Source organism: Homo sapiens, chromosome 13 (assembly GCF_000001405.40).
Source record: "Homo sapiens chromosome 13, GRCh38.p14 Primary Assembly".
Taxonomy (NCBI): domain Eukaryota; kingdom Metazoa; phylum Chordata; class Mammalia; order Primates; family Hominidae; genus Homo; species Homo sapiens.
Window position 1 is genome coordinate 19941099 of NC_000013.11, and position 21124 is coordinate 19962222.

The 21124-nt window shown below is 42.8% G+C and overlaps 1 protein-coding gene across 37 annotated transcripts in view, besides 9 other annotated features; it reads left to right on the forward strand.

The window, feature by feature from the left end:
- Window positions 1-21124, forward strand: part of ZMYM2 (zinc finger MYM-type containing 2) — a 225276-nt gene that overhangs the window by 77259 nt on the left and 126893 nt on the right. For 8 of the 37 annotated variants that reach the window (XM_047430586.1, NM_001353161.3, NM_001353162.3 and 5 more), the window contains exons 1-2: window positions 17926-18037; window positions 18860-18928. Coding sequence is in view for 2 of the 37 variants with exons in the window: in XM_047430584.1 (XP_047286540.1) it covers window positions 11993-12040; window positions 16218-16394; window positions 18860-18928 (294 nt within the window). In the remaining 35 variants the exon portion in view is untranslated. Of the gene's footprint in view, window positions 1-9792; window positions 9904-11940; window positions 12041-16217; window positions 16696-17628; window positions 17862-17925; window positions 18038-18152; window positions 18495-18859; window positions 18929-21124 lie in introns of those variants that run through there. The other 29 variants (NR_148365.2, XM_024449406.2, XM_047430593.1 and 26 more) reach the window with 14 other exon arrangements.
- Window positions 16308-16850: an enhancer, noted in NCBI's record as "NANOG-H3K27ac-H3K4me1 hESC enhancer chr13:20531546-20532088 (GRCh37/hg19 assembly coordinates)". NCBI's record gives its function as "activates a minimal SCP1, AML or CMV promoter by ChIP-STARR-seq in primed H9 embryonic stem cells {active_cell/tissue: H9 hESC(primed)}" and the evidence as "EXISTENCE:reporter gene assay evidence [ECO:0000049][PMID:30033119]".
- Window positions 16428-16717: a silencer, noted in NCBI's record as "silent region_5143". NCBI's record gives its function as "represses an Ori minimal core promoter by ATAC-STARR-seq in GM12878 lymphoblastoid cells {active_cell/tissue: GM12878}" and the evidence as "EXISTENCE:reporter gene assay evidence [ECO:0000049][PMID:35858748]".
- Window positions 16851-17392: an enhancer, noted in NCBI's record as "NANOG-H3K27ac-H3K4me1 hESC enhancer chr13:20532089-20532630 (GRCh37/hg19 assembly coordinates)". NCBI's record gives its function as "activates a minimal SCP1, AML or CMV promoter by ChIP-STARR-seq in primed H9 embryonic stem cells {active_cell/tissue: H9 hESC(primed)}" and the evidence as "EXISTENCE:reporter gene assay evidence [ECO:0000049][PMID:30033119]".
- Window positions 16851-17937: a biological region, named in NCBI's record as "NANOG-H3K27ac-H3K4me1 hESC enhancer GRCh37_chr13:20532089-20532630".
- Window positions 17088-17937: a silencer, noted in NCBI's record as "silent region_5144". NCBI's record gives its function as "represses an Ori minimal core promoter by ATAC-STARR-seq in GM12878 lymphoblastoid cells {active_cell/tissue: GM12878}" and the evidence as "EXISTENCE:reporter gene assay evidence [ECO:0000049][PMID:35858748]".
- Window positions 18118-18177: a silencer, noted in NCBI's record as "silent region_5145". NCBI's record gives its function as "represses an Ori minimal core promoter by ATAC-STARR-seq in GM12878 lymphoblastoid cells {active_cell/tissue: GM12878}" and the evidence as "EXISTENCE:reporter gene assay evidence [ECO:0000049][PMID:35858748]".
- Window positions 18188-18277: a silencer, noted in NCBI's record as "silent region_5146". NCBI's record gives its function as "represses an Ori minimal core promoter by ATAC-STARR-seq in GM12878 lymphoblastoid cells {active_cell/tissue: GM12878}" and the evidence as "EXISTENCE:reporter gene assay evidence [ECO:0000049][PMID:35858748]".
- Window positions 18375-19145: an enhancer, noted in NCBI's record as "NANOG-H3K27ac-H3K4me1 hESC enhancer chr13:20533613-20534383 (GRCh37/hg19 assembly coordinates)". NCBI's record gives its function as "activates a minimal SCP1, AML or CMV promoter by ChIP-STARR-seq in naive H9 embryonic stem cells {active_cell/tissue: H9 hESC(naive)}" and the evidence as "EXISTENCE:reporter gene assay evidence [ECO:0000049][PMID:30033119]".
- Window positions 18838-19087: an enhancer, noted in NCBI's record as "active region_7414". NCBI's record gives its function as "activates an Ori minimal core promoter by ATAC-STARR-seq in GM12878 lymphoblastoid cells {active_cell/tissue: GM12878}" and the evidence as "EXISTENCE:reporter gene assay evidence [ECO:0000049][PMID:35858748]".

Consider the following 21124-nt stretch of genomic DNA (forward strand, 5'->3'; position numbering starts at 1 on the left):
AGGAGTTCAAGACCAGCCTGGTTAACATGGTGAAACCCTGTCTCTATAAAAAATACAAAAATTAGCTGGGTGTTGTGGTTTGTGCCTGTGGTCCCAGCTACTTGGGAGGGTGAAGTAGAGAATCGCTTCAACCCAGGAGGCAGAGGTTGCAATGAGTGGAGATTGTGCCGCTGCACTCCAGCCTGGGTGACAGAGCGGAAAACAGAACAAACAAACAAAAAAACAAAAAAAAAAAAGAAAGCAAGAAAGAAAAGAAAAACTTTAGGCGAAATAAAGTTAACAGAGTTTATTTGAGCATTAAAGGATTCATTAATTGGGCAACACCCAAAACTGGAAGAGGTTCAGAGATCTCTATCCTAATAGTGTGAGCAGGGAGCTTTTATAGGCTGAAGATGGAAGCACAGTAAAGACATTACTTGATTGACTACAGCTAGGTGTTTTCCTTATTTGGGTATAGTTTGAGGTCCCTAATTTTATAACCAATTGGCTAGTTGGCTTTCTGTGATTGGTTAAAGCTCAATTCAAAATTAATCAGATGCAAGGAATGCCTCTAAGTTATGTTTTGATTTACTTGTATAAGGGTTCTGGGTACAGAAACAACTCCGGGCAAATGGCTTTCTGCTTTTTTTTTTTTTTTTTTTTTTTGGCAGAGGGCTGAGCGTGGGGGTGGGGACAGGATCTCACTCTGTCAATCAAGCTGCCATGTGGTGGCACCATAAGTGCTCACTACAGCCTTGACCTGGGCTAAGCCGATCCTCCCACCTCAGCCTTCTGAGTGGTTGGGACGCCAGGTGTGTGCCACCACACCTGGCTAATTTATTTATTTTTTGTAGAGATGGGATCTTGCCAGTTGCCCAGGCTGGTCTCAATCTCCTGAGCTCAAGTGATCCTGCTGCTTTAGCCTCCCAAAGTGCTGGATTACAGGCATTAGCCCCTGCACCTGGCCAAAAATTACTTTCTATATCATCAAGTGATATATTTCTATATAATTCTACTTTTCATAATTACCAAACCGAGTATATAATGCATTATGTTAATTCAATCAAATATTTAATATAAATAATAGCTTCATGTGTAAGAAATTTTCAACACAGCTTTATGGTCTAGAAAGTTACAAATTTTGAATTTTAATTTATTACATAATTTTACTGCAGAGTAATATAGTAGGATGATCACTAAAATTTTTAATTTTAGTATGTATTTATTATACATATTATACTAGGATACAATTCTATGGGGGAAGTGGAATGGAAATACAAATGTGAATGAGAAAAAGGAACCACATAAAATGTCCTATACTAAAGAATTTATCATCTGTGTACTTTTTAAAGGAATGATGGTAAGTGCCAAGTCAATAACATATTTTTACTGATGTGGGAGGATTGCTTGAGTACAGGAGTTTGAGATCAGCCTGGGCAACATAGGGAGATACCGTCTCTACAAAAAAAAAAAAAAAAGAAAATTAGCCTGGCATGGTGGCACATGACTGTAGTCCCAGCTACTTGGGAGGCTGAGGTGGGAGGATTTCCTGAGCCTGGGAGGTTGAAGCTGCAGTGGGCCATAATCCTGCCACTGCATCCCAGCCTGAGCTACAGGGAGAGATCTTGTCTCAAAAAAAAATCAATCAATAAAAAGTAATTTTTGAAATAGCTCATAATTTTTTAATGAAATTTTATTTTTGCTGAAATGGGACAGGTTTTATTACCCCCCTTTTCAGTTTTATGGATGTACGTGATGAGAAAACTGGTTAACAAATAAATAGACAAAAATCTAAGTTTTGTGTAATGCCATCTCAATTATTTTTAATTCTTGGGGAATTACATGCTAAAAGCTATATAGAAATTAGGTTCGTAGGGCTGCCATCACATTATACTGCAAACCGGGTGGCTTAAAACAGCACAGATTTATTCTTTTACTGCTCTGGAGGCTAGAAATCTGAAATCAAGGTGTTAGCTGGGCCATACCGACCGACAGCTCTAGAGGTGAACGGCTTCCTGCTCTTCTAGCTTTTGTTTTTTGCTGGCAATCCTTAGAGTTCCTTGGCTTGTAGATGCAACATTACAGTCATATGGCCGTCTTCTCCCCAAGTTTCTCAGGTTTTCTTCCCTCTGTATGTGTCTTGCCTCTGTGTCCAAATTTCTCCTTTTCATAAAGAGATCAGTCATATTGGATTAGGGCTCTTCCTAATGACAACATTTTAATTTGATTATCTCTATAAAGACTCCATTTCCAAATAAGATTACATTCCAAAGTACTGGGAAATAAGGACTTCAACATGTATTTTTGGGGGTGGGACACAATTAAACTCACAACACCAGGCATGTGTGTTTTATAAGATTAGCCGACATCCCAATTAGCTCTTCATTCAATTTTCTTGAAAATAAAGAATTGAAAACCACCTGATGTTCAAAAATAATCTGTCATCCAGTCATGAGAGTCATTTATTTACATTCAAATTTATACCAGTACTTCAAATTGTCCTCTCGCTGGGCATTTTGAAGTCTTTTTCACCAGGAGGCACCTCGCCTTAATGCAATTCTGGGGTGAGATACCTGCTTTTTGTTTTTCAGTGGGAGAAGGGTGGATGGGAATGGGGCAGATCTATTTTAGGTACGTGTACAACTGAATTTGAGGATCTGGAAATGGATTATTCTAAAACTGCTCTTGCCCCGTACGCAGTTGGTATATGTGCCCAAGTGTGAAATTTTCTGCCTTAAAGATGAAGTAGTTCACCAGACTGAGTGGAAGCCAGGTTTTTACTAGTTTGAGGAAATCGCACAAAGGCAGTCTGTTAAAAGCATGCAGAATTGTTGGGGTAGAGTAAATTATCCAATGTGTCTAGTGTGTAGGCTGTTTGAGGGGAATGAGAAGGGAGATGGGGCTGCATTGGTGGGAGTCATTGTAAAATATGCGGGGCTGTAGAAAGAACTCTAGAATTGATTCTTTAGGCAATGGGGGCCTAGTAGGCAGCCTTGGTAGACACAGACCTCTTTTAGCTACTTCTCTTTTGCTGTGCATATCTAGAAGGACTCTGTAGGTATTTAAAACAATATTAGGAAAGAAACAAGAACAATTGCCACAGAGACAGTTACTTAGCAATCAAAACATTACCCCTTGCTCAGGATAAAATAATTCTAAAAAGGTATTTTTGGGGACTTCAATTTTTAAAAGTAGCAGTTAATGTGAAAATAACCTCTTATTATGAGAATTAGATATTAAGGACAGGATAATGAAACGACTGAGGGTCACTGTAATCTGACTCTGTTAATGAGTAATACAGTTTAAATAAATTATAGTTCAATTGAATATTATACAGTCCTGAAAAAGAATGGGCTGTATCTATGCATGTTGATGTGAACTCAGCTTTAAGATACAATGTTGAATTAAAAAAAAAGTTGTAGAAAAAGAATACATACTTTTACATGAGAGATGTTTCTGGAAAATGTTAGAAGGAACTGGTAACAGTGGTTGTCTCTGGAGAGGCAGATAGGAAGGCTGGAGGCTACTTGAGCAGGTAGGGGGAGTCTTACTCCTCACTGTGAATTTCTTCTTCAATCACCTCTCCTTCCATGTCCTATTTATTTATTTAGAGATGGAGTCTCACTCTGTTGCCCAGGCTGGAGGGCAGTGGCGCGATCTCAGCTCACTTCAACCTCCGCCTCCCAGAATCAAGCAATTCTCCCTGCCTCAGCCTCCCATGTAGCTGGGATTACAGGCACCCACCACCACACCTGGCTAATTTTTGTACTTTTAGTAGAGATGGGGTTTTGCTATATTGGCCAGGCTGGTCTCAAACTCCTGACTTCAGGTGATCCTCCCACCTCAGCCTCCCAAAGTGCTGGGATTACAGGTGTGAACCACTGCGCCCGGCCCCTATTTTTTATTTTGAAGAAAACAAATTAAAAACACAAAACAAGGTCAAAATGAAAAAAAGAAAAACAAAACCAAAACCCAACACCTCTGAGACTATTATAAAGAACTACCATAGTATTATAGTGATATAATTTAAAAACAGAACTAAATTTGAAGTTGGTTACAAATCAATCGTTATTTATTTATATTCAACTATTTTTCCAAGTTTGTTGAAAAAGAAGTAAAAAGCAATAATAAGTAGAATACTCAGCAATGTTATACATTTTAGACTAATTTCATTTTTGGGGGTTTGGGCAGGGGGACAGAATCTCACTCTGTCACCCAGGCTGGACTGCAGTGTCACGATCTCGGCTCACTACAACCTCTGCCTCCCGGGTTCAAGCAATTATCGTGCCTTAGCCTCCCAAGTAGCTGGAACTACAGGTGTGCATTAACACTCCTGGCTAATTTTCCTATTTTTAGTAGAGACGGGGTTTCACCATGTTACCCTGGCTGGTCTTGAACTCCTGGCCTCAAGTGATCCACCTGCCTCAGCCTCCCAAAGTGCTGGGATTACAGGTGTGAACCACTGTAATTTTAGACTAATTTCTTTCAAAAATTCAGTCAATTCAAAGTAGTATTAATTTATTGGTCTACTTAGTATAACTCCTTTTAGCTATCATTCTTGAAGATTAGCTTCTACCTTTTGTGAAGCTTCTCATCTTTTGTTTGTACAAAATTTATCAGATTTGCTAAGAGTTTAATATTATTTAATAATTAGAAAAGTTTTTTCACCAGCCTGACCAACATGGAGAAACCCTGTCTCTACTAAAAAAAAATACAAAAAAATTAGCCGTGCATGGTTACGCATACCTGTAATCTCAGCTACTTGGGAGGCCGAGGCAGGAGAATTGCTTGAACTTGGGAGGCAGAGGTTGTGGTGAGCCAAGATCGTGCCATTGCACTCCAGCCTGGGCAACAAGAGAGAAACTCCGTCTCAGAAAAAAAAAAAAAAAAAAAAAAAGAGAAGTTTTTTGTGTCTGAATTTTAAATTAGTTCCCAAATTTTAGAAATGCCTCTCTGTACCCCACATCTTCCCATCATTAACTATCATCAACTCACTTCTTTTACCTGCATCGCCACCACCCTATTTGAGGCTACCAATGTCAATTCTTGCTCAGACAACTCAACAGCTTCCAAAATTCTACGCTTGCTACCCTACGACAATTCCCCACAAAGTGGCCAGGGTTATATGCTTAAGGTTTAACATTACATTGTGTCATTTTCCCACTGAAATCCTCTATTTATGGCTTTTCCATGCACTACAGTAACATCCTGTCTCCTTAGTGTGGCCTCCAAGGCCTTCCAGGGGCCACCCCGCCTGCTCTTGACTCTCCTTTCCCATGACTCTTCCCCACCCAACTGATTGTCTTCCATTTCTTAGGAGAAGTTTAATTCTTGATTTTCCTGCTGTTCAGAGCATTACTTCTCTGGTTCTTCTAAACAGTGGTTTAAATGTTACTTCTTCAGAAAAGTGTTCTATAATCATTAGCGATGGTCCTCATCGTTATTCTGTATAGCAGAACTCTGATTCCATCTAGCTCTCGATCGCACTTACTTTATTCATTTTGTTTACTTTCTGTTTATTGGCTGTCTGGTCTAGTAGAGAGTATACATCCCATGAGGGTAGGAACTACATCCGTGTGATTCACTGTTGTATCCCTAGCACTTACCCTACTGTTTGGCCTAACTTAGACTCCCAGTTAACATTTGTGGAATGAATGAACAACAAAGATCTTAGTAAAAGTTCCATAGTATGTTTATAATAATGACTAATTTTTGTTACCACCACAAAGTGTACATTTAAAGAATGATTATTAGATCCAAAATTAGTTTCTTACAATTAAACAATTATAGATGTGGTGTCTTAAAAGCATTTTATATCCCATCAAGTAATTAAAAAGTGTGTCTAATATCTTCATCTCCCTACCTGTTATCAGTGTGCTGCCTCTCTCAAGAATGTCACTTTTCCAGGGTTGGATCCTTAGCTTTGATTTGTTATCAATTTTTTATTTTATTTTTATTTTTATTTATTTATTTATTTATTTTGAGACAGAGTCTCGCTCTGTCGCCCAGGCTGGAGTGCAGTGGCGCGATCTCGGCTCACTGCAAGCTCCGCCTCCTGGGTTCACGCCATTCTCCTGCCTCCACGCTATTCTCCTGCCTCAGCCTCCTGAGTAGCTGGGACTAGAGGTGCCCGCCACCACGCCCGGCTAATTTTTTGTATTTTTAGTAAAGACGGGGTTTCACCGTATTAGCCAGGATGGTCTCGATCTTCTGACCTCATGATCTGTCAGCCTCAGCCTCCCAAAGTGCTGGGATTACAGGCGTGAGCCACCACGCCCAGCCCAATGTTTTAGGAATAGAAGGAAGCCAGAGTACAATTCTTGATGTAGGCACGTATTACTCCACAGGTTATGTATCGCTTCTTCTTCTTCGTCTTTTTTTTTTTTTTTCTTTTTTCCTTGAGACAGAGTCTTGCTCTTGTTGCCCAGGCTGGAGTGCAATGCATGATCTTGGCTCACTGCAACTTCCGCCTCTGGGTTCGAGCGATTCTCCTGCCTCAGCCTCGCGGGTAGCTGGGATTACAGGCACACGCCACCACGCCCAGCTAATTTTTGTATTTTTAGTAGAGACGGGGTTTCACCATGTTGGCTAGGCTAGGCTAGGCTAGGCTAGTCTCGAATTGTCTCGAATTGTCTCGAATTCCTAACTTCAGGTGATCCATCGGCCTCGGCTTCCCAGAGTGCTGGGATTACAGGTGTGAGCCACTGCGCCCGGCCGCTATGTATCTCTTTTAAAAATCCGTTTACCTATCCTACAACAGCAAAATGAAGATGACCGCTCTATTCTCAATGACAATTTCATTTTTCTAGATATCACCAGTTCTTTACAGCATCTCTTCTTCACTCTATGCCATGTAATAAAAAAAATTAGCAAGACCTAATTCTTGTGGGATGACAGAAATGTTTTTAAAACATCCTGTAAGTAAAAAAAAAAAAAAAAGTTACATCAACATGATTATAAAGAAAACAAAAATGAGATACCACTATATACCTATCAGAAGGTGAAAATCCCAAATACTGACAATACCAAATGCTAACAAAGATGTGGAACGACAGGAACTCTCATCCATTACTGGTGGGAATGTAAAATTCCACTCGAGAAGACAGTTGACAGTTTCTTACAAAACTAAACATACTCCTACCATATGATCCAGTTTACCGCTCTCCTTGGCATTTGCCCAAACGAGTTGAAAAGTTATGTCCACACAAAACCCTTGCACATGGGTATTTATAGAAGCATTATTCATAATTGTCAAAACTTGAATGCAACCAAGATATCCGTCAGTAGGTAAATGGATAAATGAACTGTGGTACATCCAGGCAACACAATATTATTCAGCGCTTAAAAAGAAATGAATGAACTACCAAGCCATGAAAGGACACGGAGGAAACTTAAAGGCATATTGCTAAGGGAAATAAGCTGATCTGAAAAGTCTGAATACTGTATGAGGCTAACTGTAAGACATTCTGGTAATGGCAAAATCATGGAGACAGCAGAAAGATCAATGGTTACTACGGGTTATAGGGCAGGGAGAGAGATAGGAAGGGATGAACAACACCAAGATGTAAAACCAAGGGTAAACTCTAATATATTAAACTATGGACTTTGAGTAATAATAATGTGTTCATATAGGTTCGTAAGTTGTAACAAAACGTACCACTCTGGTGGGGGAGTTGCTAGTGGGGAAGGCTATGCAGGTGTGGAATGGGGTGTGTGGGAACTCTCTGAATTTTCTGCTCAAATTTTCTGTGAACCTAAAACTGTTTTAAAAAATGAAGTCAATTAAGAATGTTAACAATTATCCTTACATGCAAGGGTTATTGGTCATTTTCCCCCCCTTCGTACTTTTCAGGTATTCCAAGTTGTGGTTTGTGTGTATGTGTTTTTGTTTTGTTTTGTTTTGTTTTTTAAATCACTGAGGGCAGGGCCAGTTCATAATCCCAGCTCTTTGGGAGGCCGAGGCAGGAGGATTGCTTGAGCTGAGTTCAAGACCAGCCTGGGTAACATGGCAAAACCTTATCTTCACAAAAAAAAAAACTACAAAAATTAAGGCTGGGCACTGTGGCTCACGCCTCTAATCCCAGCACTTTGGGAGGCCGAGGCGAATGAATCACCTGAGGTCAGGAGTTCGAGACCAGCCTGGTCAACATGGTGAAACCCCATCTCTGCTACATACAAAAATTAGCTGGGCATGGTGGGGCATGCCTGTAATCCTAGCTATTCCGGAGGCTGAGGCAGTAGCATTGCTTGAACCGGGACCTGGGAGGTGGAGGTTGCTGTGAGCCGAGATCACGCCACTGCACTTCAGCTTGGGCTACAGAGCGAGACTCTGTCTCAAAAACAAAAAACAAAAACAGAAAACAAAAATTAGCTGGATGTGGTGACAGGTACCTGTAGTCCTAGCAGTCGGGAAGCTGAGATAGGAGAATCGCTTCAGCCCAGGAGGTGGAGGCTGCAGTGAGCCATGATCATTCTACTGACTCCAGCCTAGGCAACAGAGTAAGACCCTGTTGAAAGAAAGAAAAAATAGGCTGGGCGAGGTGGCTCACTCCTGTAATCCCAGCACTTTGGGAGGCCAAGACGGGCAGATCATGAGATCAGGAGTTCGAGACCAGCCTGGCCAATATGGTGAAACGCCGTTTCTACTAAAAGTGCAAAAATTAGCTGGGCGTGGTGGCGGGTGCCTGTAGTCCCAGCTACTTGGGAGGCTGAGGCAGAAGACTCGCTTGAACCTGGGAGAACGAGATTGCAGCAAGTCGAGATCACGCCACTGCACTCAAGCCTGGGTGACAGAGCGAGACTTTGTCAAAAAAAAAAAAAAGAAAAGAAAAGGAAGGGAAGGAAGGAGCGAGAGAGAAAAAAAGAAGGAAGAAAGGAAGGAAAGAAAGAAGAGAAAGAAAGGAAGAAAAAGAAAGAAAGACGTGGCAGCTCACACCCGTAATTCCAACACTTTGGGAGATTTAGGTGGGAGGATTACTTAAACCCGGGAGTTGGAGACCAGCCTGGACTGTTAACATAGTGAGACCCCTTCTCTACAAAATAAACAATAACAAAATTCAGCTGGGTATGGTGGCACGTGCCTGTGGTCCCAGCTACTTAGGAGGCTGAAATAAATAAATAAATAATTTTTAAAAATTAAAAAAAAGTAAAATCATTGTGTATTTATTACCTTTGGAAGTAGGAAAAAGTATGAAAAACATAAGATGTAATGATTCACAACTTTCAGACCTGCTTAATTTTAGATTTTAATATTTTAGTGAATAGCTACTGGTAAATTAAGTTTAGCCGAAAACCACCTGCTTACATATTTTAAGTTTGGCCTAAAAGTTTCCCCTTACAGGGTGAACTGCAACCCAACTGGATATGTAAACAGAATGTAACCTATTTTTTGTACTAGTCACGGAGTTTTGGCCAGTCATAGGCGGCCAGCTCTTCAAACCATGTTCAAATAAGGCAAACGCTAAGCTCTAACCAATCAGGATGTTTCTGGGCCTCATTTCTGTTTTCTTTAACTTTACTTTTTCTACCCATAATCCTCTCTGACCACGTAGCAGCTGCAAAGTCGTTCTGAACCTCTTCTGGTTCCGGGTCCTGCCCAATTAGCAAATCATTCTTTGCTCAATTAAACTGTTAAATTTAATTTGTCTAAAGTTTTGGTTTTAACACTACTCAGTACAGAAATTCACTAAATAACGGTTGACAATATAAGGAGTCCTTTCAGCTTATTATTTTATAAAATCATAGAATTTATTGATGGGAAGGATCTTGGAAATAATCTAATCTTTCCCTTTAAAATTTGCTTCTGTTTTGCAGTGAGTACCTCTAAAGCAAGCTTGTCCAACCAGTGGCCAGGAGGTGGCATGTAGCCCAGAATGGCTTTGAATGCATGTGGTCCAACACAAATTTTGTAAACTTTCTTAAAACGTAAGATTTTTTTGTGTGTGATTTTTTAATTTATTTATTTTGGCTCGTCAGTTATCATTAGTGTATTTTATGTGTGGCCCAAGACAATAATTCTTCCAGTGTGGGCCAGGGAAGCCAAAAGATTGGACACCCACGCTCTAAAGCTTAGATGGAACTTGGTGGGCTATGATGCCTGGGAGATAAATGAATAACAAGAAAGCACAGGTACCAACAGCAAAAGCAGACAAATGAGATACATTAAAAAGCTTCTGTATCGTAAAGGAAACAATCAACAGAGTGAAGAGACAACCTATGAAATGAGAGACTTTATTTACAAACCATATGTCTGATAAGAGGTTACTATCCACAATAGGAACTCAAATAACTCAATAGGAAGAAAGCAACCTGATTTAAAAATAGGCAAACGGGCCAGATGCGGTGGCTTACTCCTGTAATCCCAGCGCTTTGGGAGGCTGAGGCAGGTGGATTAGTTGAAGTCAGGAGCTCGAGACCAGCCTGGTCAACACGGTGAAACCCCATCTCTACTAAAAAAAAAAAAAAAAAAAAAAAAATTTACCGGGGGTCGTGGTGTGCGCATGTAATTCCAGCTACTCAAGAGATTGAGGCAGGAGGATCGCTTGAACCTGGGAGGTGGGTGTTGCAGTGAGCTGAGATGGGGCCACTGCACACCAGCCTGGGTGACAGAGCTAGACTCTATCTCAAAAATAAAATACAATAAGACAGACAAAAGAATACACATGCTGTTAATGATGTGGAAGAAAGGGAACCCTTGCACACTGTTGCTAGGAATGTAAATTAATACAGCGATGATGGAAAACAGTATGATGGTTTCTCAAAAAATAAAAAAATTGACTACCATGTGATCCAGTAATCCCGCTAGTGAGTATATACCCAAAGGAAATGAAATCAGTTCCTTCAGGTGGTGCCTACACTCTCATGTTCATTGCAGTATTATTCACAATAGCCAGGATATGGAGTATATGTAAGTGTCCATCAACAGATGAATGGATAAAGAAAATGTGGCATATATACACAACGGAATATTATTCAGCCTTAAAAAGAAGAAAATCCTGTTGTTTGTGACAACATGGATGAACCTGAAGGACATTATGTTAAATGAAATAAGCCAGGCACAGAAAGACAAATACCACATAATCTCACATATGGAATCTTAAACAAGTTGAACTCATAGAAGCAGAGCATAGAATGGTGATTACCAGGGGCTGGGGTGGTGGCATGAGAGTTTGGTGGAATTTAGAGGATATGGGTCAAAAGATAGAAGTTTTAGCTACATAGGAGGAAGTTCAAGAGACTGTACACCATATTGTGCAACATGGTGTTTAAAATCAATAACAGTATATTGTATTATTGAAAATAGCCGAGAGTAGATTTTAAGTGTTTCTACCACAAAAAATAATAAGTATGTGAGGTTGTGCCTATATTATTTAGTCACTGCACAATGTATATATATTTCAAAACATCATGTTGTATACACTAAATATATTCAATTTTTTGCCAATTAAAATAAATACATTTGATTTAAAAAGAGAAACATGATGGGACCCTTATTCCAATGTGAACTGGTAAGGAAGAGTGAAGGGCAATCTTTGTTAAGACTATAGTTGCAAACACTTTTTATTACTCAATAATAAAGCCACAGGAACTCAGAGGAAAGGAATATTTACAATAAACTGGAAAAATGATATGGGGTTGGTTGGAGGCATTGGGATCCCAAAGGATGAGAAGATTATAAGGAGAGAAGAAGGGATTTTCCTTTAAGGGTCTAGGATGTACAATTCCCTCAGTTCACTGAAGAAACTGAGGCTCAAAAAGTGGAGGGTCACTACTATGGTTTGAATATTTGTCCCCTCCACAGCTCATGTTGAAATGTAATTGCTATTGTGATGGTATCAAGAAGTGAGACCTTTAAGAGATGTGAGCCCTCATGAATAGATTAATGTTATCATCAGGGAAGTAGGTTTCCTTATTGTAGGACTGGGCTTGTCCCTTCTTGCTCTTACTCTCATCCTCTCTCAGCCTTTCAGACATGTGATGCTTTCCTTGATGTTATGACATAGCAAGAAGGCCCATGACAGATGCCAGCACCTTGATATTGGACTTCCCTGCCTCCAGAATGGTGAGTCAGTAAATTTCTGTTATTGATAAATTACCCAGTCTTAGGTATTCTGTTGTAGAAGCACTAAATGAACTAAGACAGTCACAAAGCTAACAAGTAGTGGAATTAGCATTAACTTCACCTCTGCATACTTTTCCAGGCATTGTTAATAAGCTTCATTACTCTTTCATAAAGTGTAAAACATGTTGATAGGAAAGAATAAGTATTTCATATATTTAGAAAGAATGGCAACTTAAATCTCTATTTTTAAAATTTCAACCTATAGGCTGGGCACGGTGGCTCACGCCTGTAATCCGAGCACTTTGGGAGGCTGAGGCGGGTGGATCACGAGGTCAAGAGATCGAGACCATCCTGGCCAACATGGTGAAACCCTGTCTCTGCTAAAGAACACAAAAATTAGCTGGGCGTGGTGGCGCTTGCCTGTAGTCCCAGCTACTCAGGAGGCTGAGGCAGAAGAATTGCTTAAATCCAGGAGGCAGAGGTTGCAGTGAGCTGAGATTGCACCACTGCACTCCAGCCTGGCGACAGAGCAAGACTCTGTCTCAAAAAAAAAAAAAAAAAAAAAAAAATTCCACCTATGGTTCATTTGAGATTACTCTCAGTTTCTGATATCATCTTGTGTTTTTCCAGCTGATTTAGAACTTAAATTTGTCCATGACTTGCTTTCTCCAGAGTAATATTTTTCAAACCACAGTTTGTAAACCATGAAATGAACTTGGTGTGTTGCAACTATTATTTATTTATTTAAAAAGAAGGGCTAAAACTGTATAGACTAGATTTAAATATACTAGAATGGATAATATTAAAATGCATCTAAGACAGTGAAAGATAATTATTCCATGAATCCTGTGTTTCAGTTATATAGTCATGTACCTAGTAGGCGTTTGTACCGGGTGCTGATGTACAATGCATATCCCAGTGGTTGTCATGGTCAAAAAAAAGTTTATAAGCCACTGATCTAAAATGCATTATTTAGTGCTATGTTTAATTTTTTTTTTTTTTTTTTTTTAGACGGAGTCTCACTCTGTCGCCCAGGCTGGAGTGCGGTGGCACAATCTCGGCTCACTGCAAGCTCCGCCTTCCGGGTTCACGTCATCCTCCTGCCTCAGCCTCCCAAGTAGCTGGGACTACAGGCGCCCACCACCATGCCTGGCTAATTTTTTGTATTTTTAGTAGAGACGGGGTTTCACCGTGGTCTCGATCTCCTGACCTTGTGATCCGCCCGCCTCGGCCTCCCAAAGTGCTGGGATTACAGGCATGAGCCACCGCGCCTGGCCTGTTTAAAATTTTTTAAGATGACATGTTTAAGAGTTAAAATTTAAGAATGAAGAGAAAGCTATCTAGAGAGGCTGTATAATGAGGTGGTTAATAGCATGGATTCTGGAGCCAAGAATCCTAGGGCCAAGGAACTTCACCCTTTCTCCACAACAATAAAGCAAAATTATGGATTTTTGGTTGCTATAATACCAAACATCATTCAGTATAAGCAAATTATAAATGTCAACTTAAAACTAACAATTTTTATTTAAAATTCTTATTTTTGAATCCTATGAGAAGCATCCTACCCAGGAGTACTATGTTTATATATCAATAAGTAATATTAAACTTGTTTCAGTCTTTGTTCCTTCTTTCATAGAAAATTTTCTTCAGTGTTTCCATTGTTAAAATATTGTTGTTTTTTTTTTCTTTTTGAGACAGGGTCTCACTCTTTGCCCAGGCTGGAGTGCAGTGACACAATCTTAGCTCAATACAACCTCTGCCTGCCGGGTTCAAGCAACTCTCCCACCTTAGCCTCCTGAGTAGCTGGGACTACAAGCATGCACCACGCTGCCCGGCTAGTTTTTGTATTTTTTGGTAGAGATGGGGTTTTACCATGTTGGCCAGGATGGTCTCAAACTCCCGATCTCAAGTGATCCACCTGCCTTGGCCTCCCAAAGTGCTGGGATTACAGACATGAGCCACTGCGCCCGGCCCCAAGACTACTTGATTTAGTTACTGCAATTATTATTATTATTATTATTATTATTATTTGGATTATGCGGTAGCATAGTATTGGTGGTAGAGATATCAATATGGTCCTAGTAGAATATTATAATTTTTTTCTAATATTTCATTGAGTCAAGTATGAATGATAAAAACAACTAAAATTTACTGAGGTCTATATTAAGTGAGGTGCAAGGTGCAAGTTTTATACATGTATGCTCGTTTCACCCCCTAAAAAACTCTATGAAAGAGGAATTATTATCTACATTTCACACATGATGAAACGATCAGAGGCTTAGAGAAGCTTACACATGACTAAAAGCATCTAGCTAGTTGCTAGTTGTGGGTAATGCCAGAATTCAGATGGGGGCAGTCTGGCTCTTTAAGCTGTGCTCAGAGTCAGTTTTACTACATCTCAATTAACGGTGAGCTCTTGGTCTTCGAAATGCAATTAAACCTAACACTTTTATATCACTTTCACAGAAGTTACTTGGTCCTTATAACAACTCTTTTTTTTTGAGATGGAGTCTTGCTCTGTTGCCCAGGCTGGAGTGCAGTGGTGCGCTCTCGGCTCACTGCAACCTCCGCCTCCTGGGTTCAAGCGATTCTCCTGCCTCAGCCTCCTGAGTAGCTGGTACTACAGGCGGGTGCCACCATGCCCAGCCACAACAACTGTTTATTACTTTACTTTACAAATAAGGAAATGGACTCAGAGAGAAGGTAAGTTTCTGAGGTTTTGAGTGGCCAGATATTTGAAATACAAGTCTTTTGCTCACGTCTTGCAGCTGCCTCTTGGATGTCTGGTATGCTTTTTGACAGGTACAGAATAGATTAATACACACACACACAGTTTTAGTTGTGGATTTATTGAGATATAATTGACATATCATGCAATTCACACATTTAAGGTATGCTGTTCAGAGGTTTTTAGCACATTCACAGTTGTGCAATCATTTCAGTCAATTTTAGAACACTTGAGTCACTCCATTAAAAAACCTCGTAACTTTTAGCTACCATTTTCTACTCCCCACTTCTCCAGTTCTGGGCAACCAGTAATCTACTTTCTGTCTCTACAGATTTGCCTATTATAGACATTTCTCGTAAATGGAATAAAATATTCAGTGGTCTTTTGTGTCTTGTTTATTCACTTAGCATAATGTCTTTAAGGTTTGTCCATGTTGTAGTGTATATCAGAACTTCACTCCTCTTTAGGTCTGAATAATATTCCATTGTATGGATGTACCACATTTTGTTTATCCATTCATCAGTTGATGGACATTTCAGGGATGTTGGAAATTATGAATAATGCTGTTATGAACATTCAAACATTTATTTTTAAAATTACTTTTATGTAAAATTGTCTGCTTTTTAACATTATGACAAATACTTTCTTCCCAGTTCTAAATTCTCAACGAAAAATTCTCCCTGATATCAGACCAGCAAACCAATGAACAGTTGCATGGACAGATGTACCTGAATGAATTTAAAAAGTAAATAATAAATACTATAATTAGCACAGTTGCTCATTAGTTATATAAAACAGCAATAACACTAGGGAATTAGTAGCAGTATAGAGCTCCAACTGAACAGTACGTGGCAACCCAATCTATCATTTATCACAGAGCTTATTTGGAAGTATTAGTCTACTTTAGTCTTCTAAATGTAAATTCAATGAGCTGAAGCTACTTCAATAGGACCTGGCAGCAGAAAAGGAATGATGTAAGTTTTCACCAAATTATTACAATTTGGTAGTAGAGGATGTTTGTTTTGATGATAGTGGCTGTTTTTGTTGTGATGTTTCTGTTGTGATGATAGTTTTTCAGTCTAAACCAGTACTGTGTAATATGAAATCTTAAGAGGCTATTTTAGTGTATTTAAAACTAAAAAATTTTAGTTACAAAGTTTCCTAAAAATTAGTGATACTTTTTGAAAAGCTGGTTCAAGTACATTTTATTAATTTTTTTCAATAAAAGAGAACAGTGTATTCAAGGTATTTAGTACAAGGTGGAAAGCCTACTTGATTTATTTTTTTTAATGAGTGAATGAATTCAACTTCTACTAGATTATCCTCTGTAAGTTGCGTCTATTAGTTTACACATCAGTCTTTCACGGGTGATTAACCTCACTAAAAACTTCATGTTCATCAATATTGTGTTGAACTTGAAACTGTATTATCATATATGTTTATTAATAGGCAATGGTGTCAGATAATCGTGAAATTGAGAAGTCGCCCATCCATTTGGGTGGGAAAATAACCAACATCCTCAGTTGTAATCCCACTAAGAACCGCCAGGGCGAGACGAAAGCGACATCGCTTCCATCTTTACGTGAGTCTTGGAAATGGTTCAGCACCATGACGTCCGCCGAAGACGTAGGTGTAGACGAGGAACAAAAGAGAAGACCCCTCGTGGAGGTGGCCTGTGGGGCCCGCCCTCCTCGGGCGCCTGTCGTCGTCTGTCCCTGACTCCGCTCCCCCCGGCGGCCGCAGCGAGTGCGCCCCGCGATGCAGCGGGCTGTGGAGGGAGCCTCCATGGAGTCTCCATCAACCATTGAGGACCAGGAGACGGTGGCAGGCGGTAGAGAGGCCTGGGCAGGGCCAGCGCCCCGGGCTGCGGAGCACAGGACGGCGGCGCCCAAGGACGCCCCAGGGCAGGCCTCAGCCCCTCCAACCGGTGGGAGCCCAGCTCCAGGGGAGCCCGCAGCTCCCTCCATCTTGGTTGATGGAGGCGGGGAGCTGCGTCTGGGTCTCTCCACCGTCGTGCCCGTCCCCTGTGGCCCCGCGGACGCAGACGCCAGCAGCCGGGGTTGTTCCCTTGGCCGAATGGCAGAGTCCAGTTGGGGCTTCCCGAGGACAAGTTTCCCGGCCCCACGGGGTTTGGTTTTTAGGGGGTCCCAAGTTCCCACAGTCGTTCCGACAAAATGGAGGACGTCGTCTCCTCCTGCTGCAGCCATGGCGGGAGGTGGGGGACTATTCCCCACGGGGCGCGGCGAGGGTGGAAGGGCCTCCACTGCCCCCAGCGCGGTCGGGATTCCAGTTCACCCGCGGTCCCGAAAGCCCACTCGGACCCGCTCCAGCGCCTCCCCGGCCTCGCCCCTCGCAGGGGCCTTCAAGCAACTGGACAGGGAGGGCGTTGGGGCATCGAGGCCGCGGCTCTCCTCGGGCAGAGGCGTTGGGAGCCGCTGCCGCGGCCTGGGCGCCCGGGCTCGGGCGAGGGCAGGCGGCCCCGCCGGAGTCTCCCGGGCTGTGTAGGTCCCGGAGAGCCCCGGGCCCCGAGGAGCCGAAGCGGGTTCGGTACGGCGGGCAGCGAATCTCGGGCTCCTGACCCTGGCAGACCCGGTGGGTGGGGGCGGGGGACCGGCGGGGAGGGGACCCGGCCAGGAGTCGAGGGCCGGCGGAGGCGGGAGTGGAACGGCAGGGCCGGGGGAGTGGCCCGCACCTGACGGACAGCCCTTCGGACCACCCTACCGAGGGGGGGCCCTGAAGGACGGCCGTCGGAGCCAATGGGCGTGCCCGAAGCGCTCCGGCCAGCCTTCCCCGTCAGCCAATGAGCGCGCGGAGGGCGGGGCCTCCCCGGGCTCGGCCGCGCCGCCGCCTCCTCCGCCTCCTCCTCCTCACCAGCGCTAAAGCCGGGACTGGACCGAGCGGAGTTGTGCGTGTCGCCGAAGGGGGGTGGGCCGGGGGAGGGGAGGTTCGTTCCGCGGAGCCCCAGCCAGAACCGGGTGAGGCTTATCCCCGCTGTCTTTCCAGTCCAGGGCCGCCGAGAGTGGGGGTGGCTGGGAGCAGCGCAGCCTCCGGAGGAGGAGGCGGAGGCGGAGGCGACTAGGGAGGCGGAGATGGGTGAGGGCAGCCTCCGGAGCCTCCCACCGACCCGGGATTAATACCCCGCGGCGCGGCCGCCGTCGCCGCTGCCGCGTCGGGGCCTCGGGGGCAGCTCGGGGCTGCGCTCATGTCACAGGCGCCTTTGCGTGCGGCCCGAGGGGCTGGGAGAGTGCGGGCGAGGCCGGGAGGGCTGGGTGAGGCGGCCGCCAGCGGCGGGGGTCGCGGGGCCGGCGGGGCGGCGGGACGGCGGGACGGCGGGGCGGGGGTGCCGGCCGCCCGGGGAGGTCGCGGGGCATTTTCCTTTCTCTCCGGCGGGGGGCGGGGGAGGGGCGCCCCGGCTGGGTCTCCGCTCTCGGGGCAGCGCTCCCACCCTGTCCACCGGAGCCGAGGTCCCCAAGTTTTTCGGGGTGAGGGCTGCTGCCTCTGCTCCGCCGGGTCCCCTCCTTCGCTCTTCTTTTCCTCGGCGCTGCGCTGCGCGGCTCTTGCTCCGCACGTATTGTTTGGCTGGGTCTCTAATGGCGGACGGGGAGGCAGCGCTGCCGGTCGCCGACTGCAGGGGGGGGCAAACCTCAGGCCCAGGGCAACTGCTTGGGGCAAATGTGGGCGATATCGGCCCAGCAGTGACGTGAGCCGCCCCTTACCTCTGAATTGGTACTTGGAGTGACGGGGATGACGCTGGGTGGGCAAATTTAGGAGGGAATACAAATCCCTTGCTGGCGTCGAGGCAACGTTTTCCCTTCCCCCCTCCCTTCCCGGGAGCAGGCTCGGTGTCCTTAGGCCCCCTCCCTTCCAGATTTTGCCTTTCACATGGGTTTTGGCCCCAAATATGTATTTTGCGCTGTTTTGCCCCACTTACGCAGGAGGGGGCTGTTGTGCGCATGGTGGGGGTAATAATAGAAGGACCGAACCTCCTTGACCTCTTATTCCCTTCTCTGCCTCCTTCTGGCAGAAAGGGTTGGGTTCTCCCACCAGGTTGTGTGTTTTTGATACATTTTTCTTTTTTCCTCCTATCCCAGGACCAAGAATCGCCTTCAGCCCTGTCTGGTGCATCCTTGGCAGAAAGTGAGGAGGAAAACACCCCCATTGTGAGTCCTTTGCCCCTAATTTGTTGCTAATAGAGGACATTGTCAGGTTGTAGGGGTTAAGCTATGGGACCTGGCCCTCCCCGTTGTTTTGAGGGGGAGGAGCTTTCCCTTGGGTGGCAGCTGCCCCCAGGGCGAAGCCTGGGTAATGGCTGGTGAGGCAGCTGGGAGTGGGCGCTGCTGTTTCCACCGCTGCAGACATCGCTCCTGCTGCTGCAATACCAACCTCAGCAACCAGACGACGGGCTTCTGCAGCTGCTCACGTTACCCGGGAGGAGGGGTGGTGCGAAGGAGGGCATATTTCTGGTGCCCTCTAGAGTTCCAAAATGGGAATTAAAGTTATTTCTTGTTGAATGCTGTGCATGCAACCTGAACATTTTTTCTTCCTTAAACAATGGCTAATTGATTGAAGGAATTGGAAACATAGAAATAATCATTTATATTTTTGTTTATGTCTGCTGGAAACACATATTTTGACACTTATGGCTCATGAGTTGCTAGATCTTTTTCATGTATTTGCTTAGGAAAGGGAGTCAACTCCTCTAGTACTATCTTGTTCACCAAGTAGTATGCTGATCAGTCCAGTGTACTGATCTAGTTAATTTCTTCGTTCCCCATCTTCCATGTTGATCATCTTTAACTTAACGATCATTTTTGAATGTGTTACCAGAGAATTATTTAATTTGTTGGTTTTAAGGCAACTATGTAATGTGCTAGAGAGGAAGATGAAGATAGCCAGTCATATTTTCCTTCAGGCAATTGAAACTAAAAGTATCTGAAGTCAGCACTCTGGACACATTATGTCTCTGGAGCCCATTGACAGTTGATGTGGTAACTTGTAGATCTCTGTCAGAGTCAGAGATGAGTTATTTACGCTTAAGTATTCAGTCCACATGGTTCAAAAAATAGTGAATTGATAAGCATTTGCTGAATATACATTGTGAAGGATGATGTGAGAATAGTAACTTACATTAAATATACACCGTTCTAGGCACAGTCCAGGACACTTTCCTTTAATCTTAGCAAGTAGCCCACAGGGTAATACCTATGGCGTGTATTGAGCCCTTATTGTATGCTAGCCCAATTCTAAGGTTTTTTTTTTTTTTTTAAGTTTATTATGGAAACTTTAAATTTTACTAGTAAGAATAGTGTACTGAACCTCCATGTACCCATCATTCACATTCTAAAATTATCAATACGTGCCCACACTAGTTTTTAACATGTGTTAAGTAATTTAATTATCACGAAAACCCAGTGATGTTGATAACCACAGTTATCAATTAGATTTTTATACTGCCTTGTTTCAAAACTAACGGGCTGTTTGGATCAGAATTAACATAGTCTCTTTTTCAATATGTCTGTACAATTTACAGTCTGTAATTGTTTTCTAAATATTGCTAACTTGAATGAATATAACATCTCTAATGAGTTTGAAGTTCATCTCAGGCATCAGATCATTCAATAATGAATCAAGGGTTAGATCTTTCAAATAGATGGATGATGCTTATCGCCACATATTTTCACAAAAGATTTATCTTTCTAGGATTTTTTTTCTTTGTTCTTAGTTATGTTGATAGGGGAAGCTTGATAATTGGTTGTGTTTAGTAGATATTTGGAGATGAGGAACATAAAAAATGCAAAATCAGTACTTTTCTGTAATGTCAACATATGTATACTAACGGAAAGCAGTGCTGCTTTTACGTAATACCAGAATGGTTCTTGTTTTGCTTAACGATTTAGCTTAGAGTTGAACATTTCTTTACTTAAAAACAGCAACTAGTGATGCTGCTATGTGCTAGACAGTAAGATGAAGATAACCTGATGATTTTTAATTGGCCTTGACTAAATAAGTACTTTTATTATACAGTAGGAACATATGTAAATGCTTTTAGATCCATTTACAAAGTATTTTGACAGTTAAAAATACTTTGCATATTTATGGCATATTTCTTTAGTGCATCCTTTCTAATATCTGTTCCCTCCCACCTATCCTTTTAAATTGTTGGGAGGAAGATATAAAGTGGTCCCTACTTTTCCATGGGCTGGGCTTTTGTATCTCATGTGGTGAGACAATCCTGAATCACTCAAGTATGACATATATGCTGACATATGAACATTTTTAACTTCTGTGTGGATATAGAGCTTATATTATCTTTGAACAACAGTTTTTATTTTTTCAGTTTTATTGTATTTTGCCCT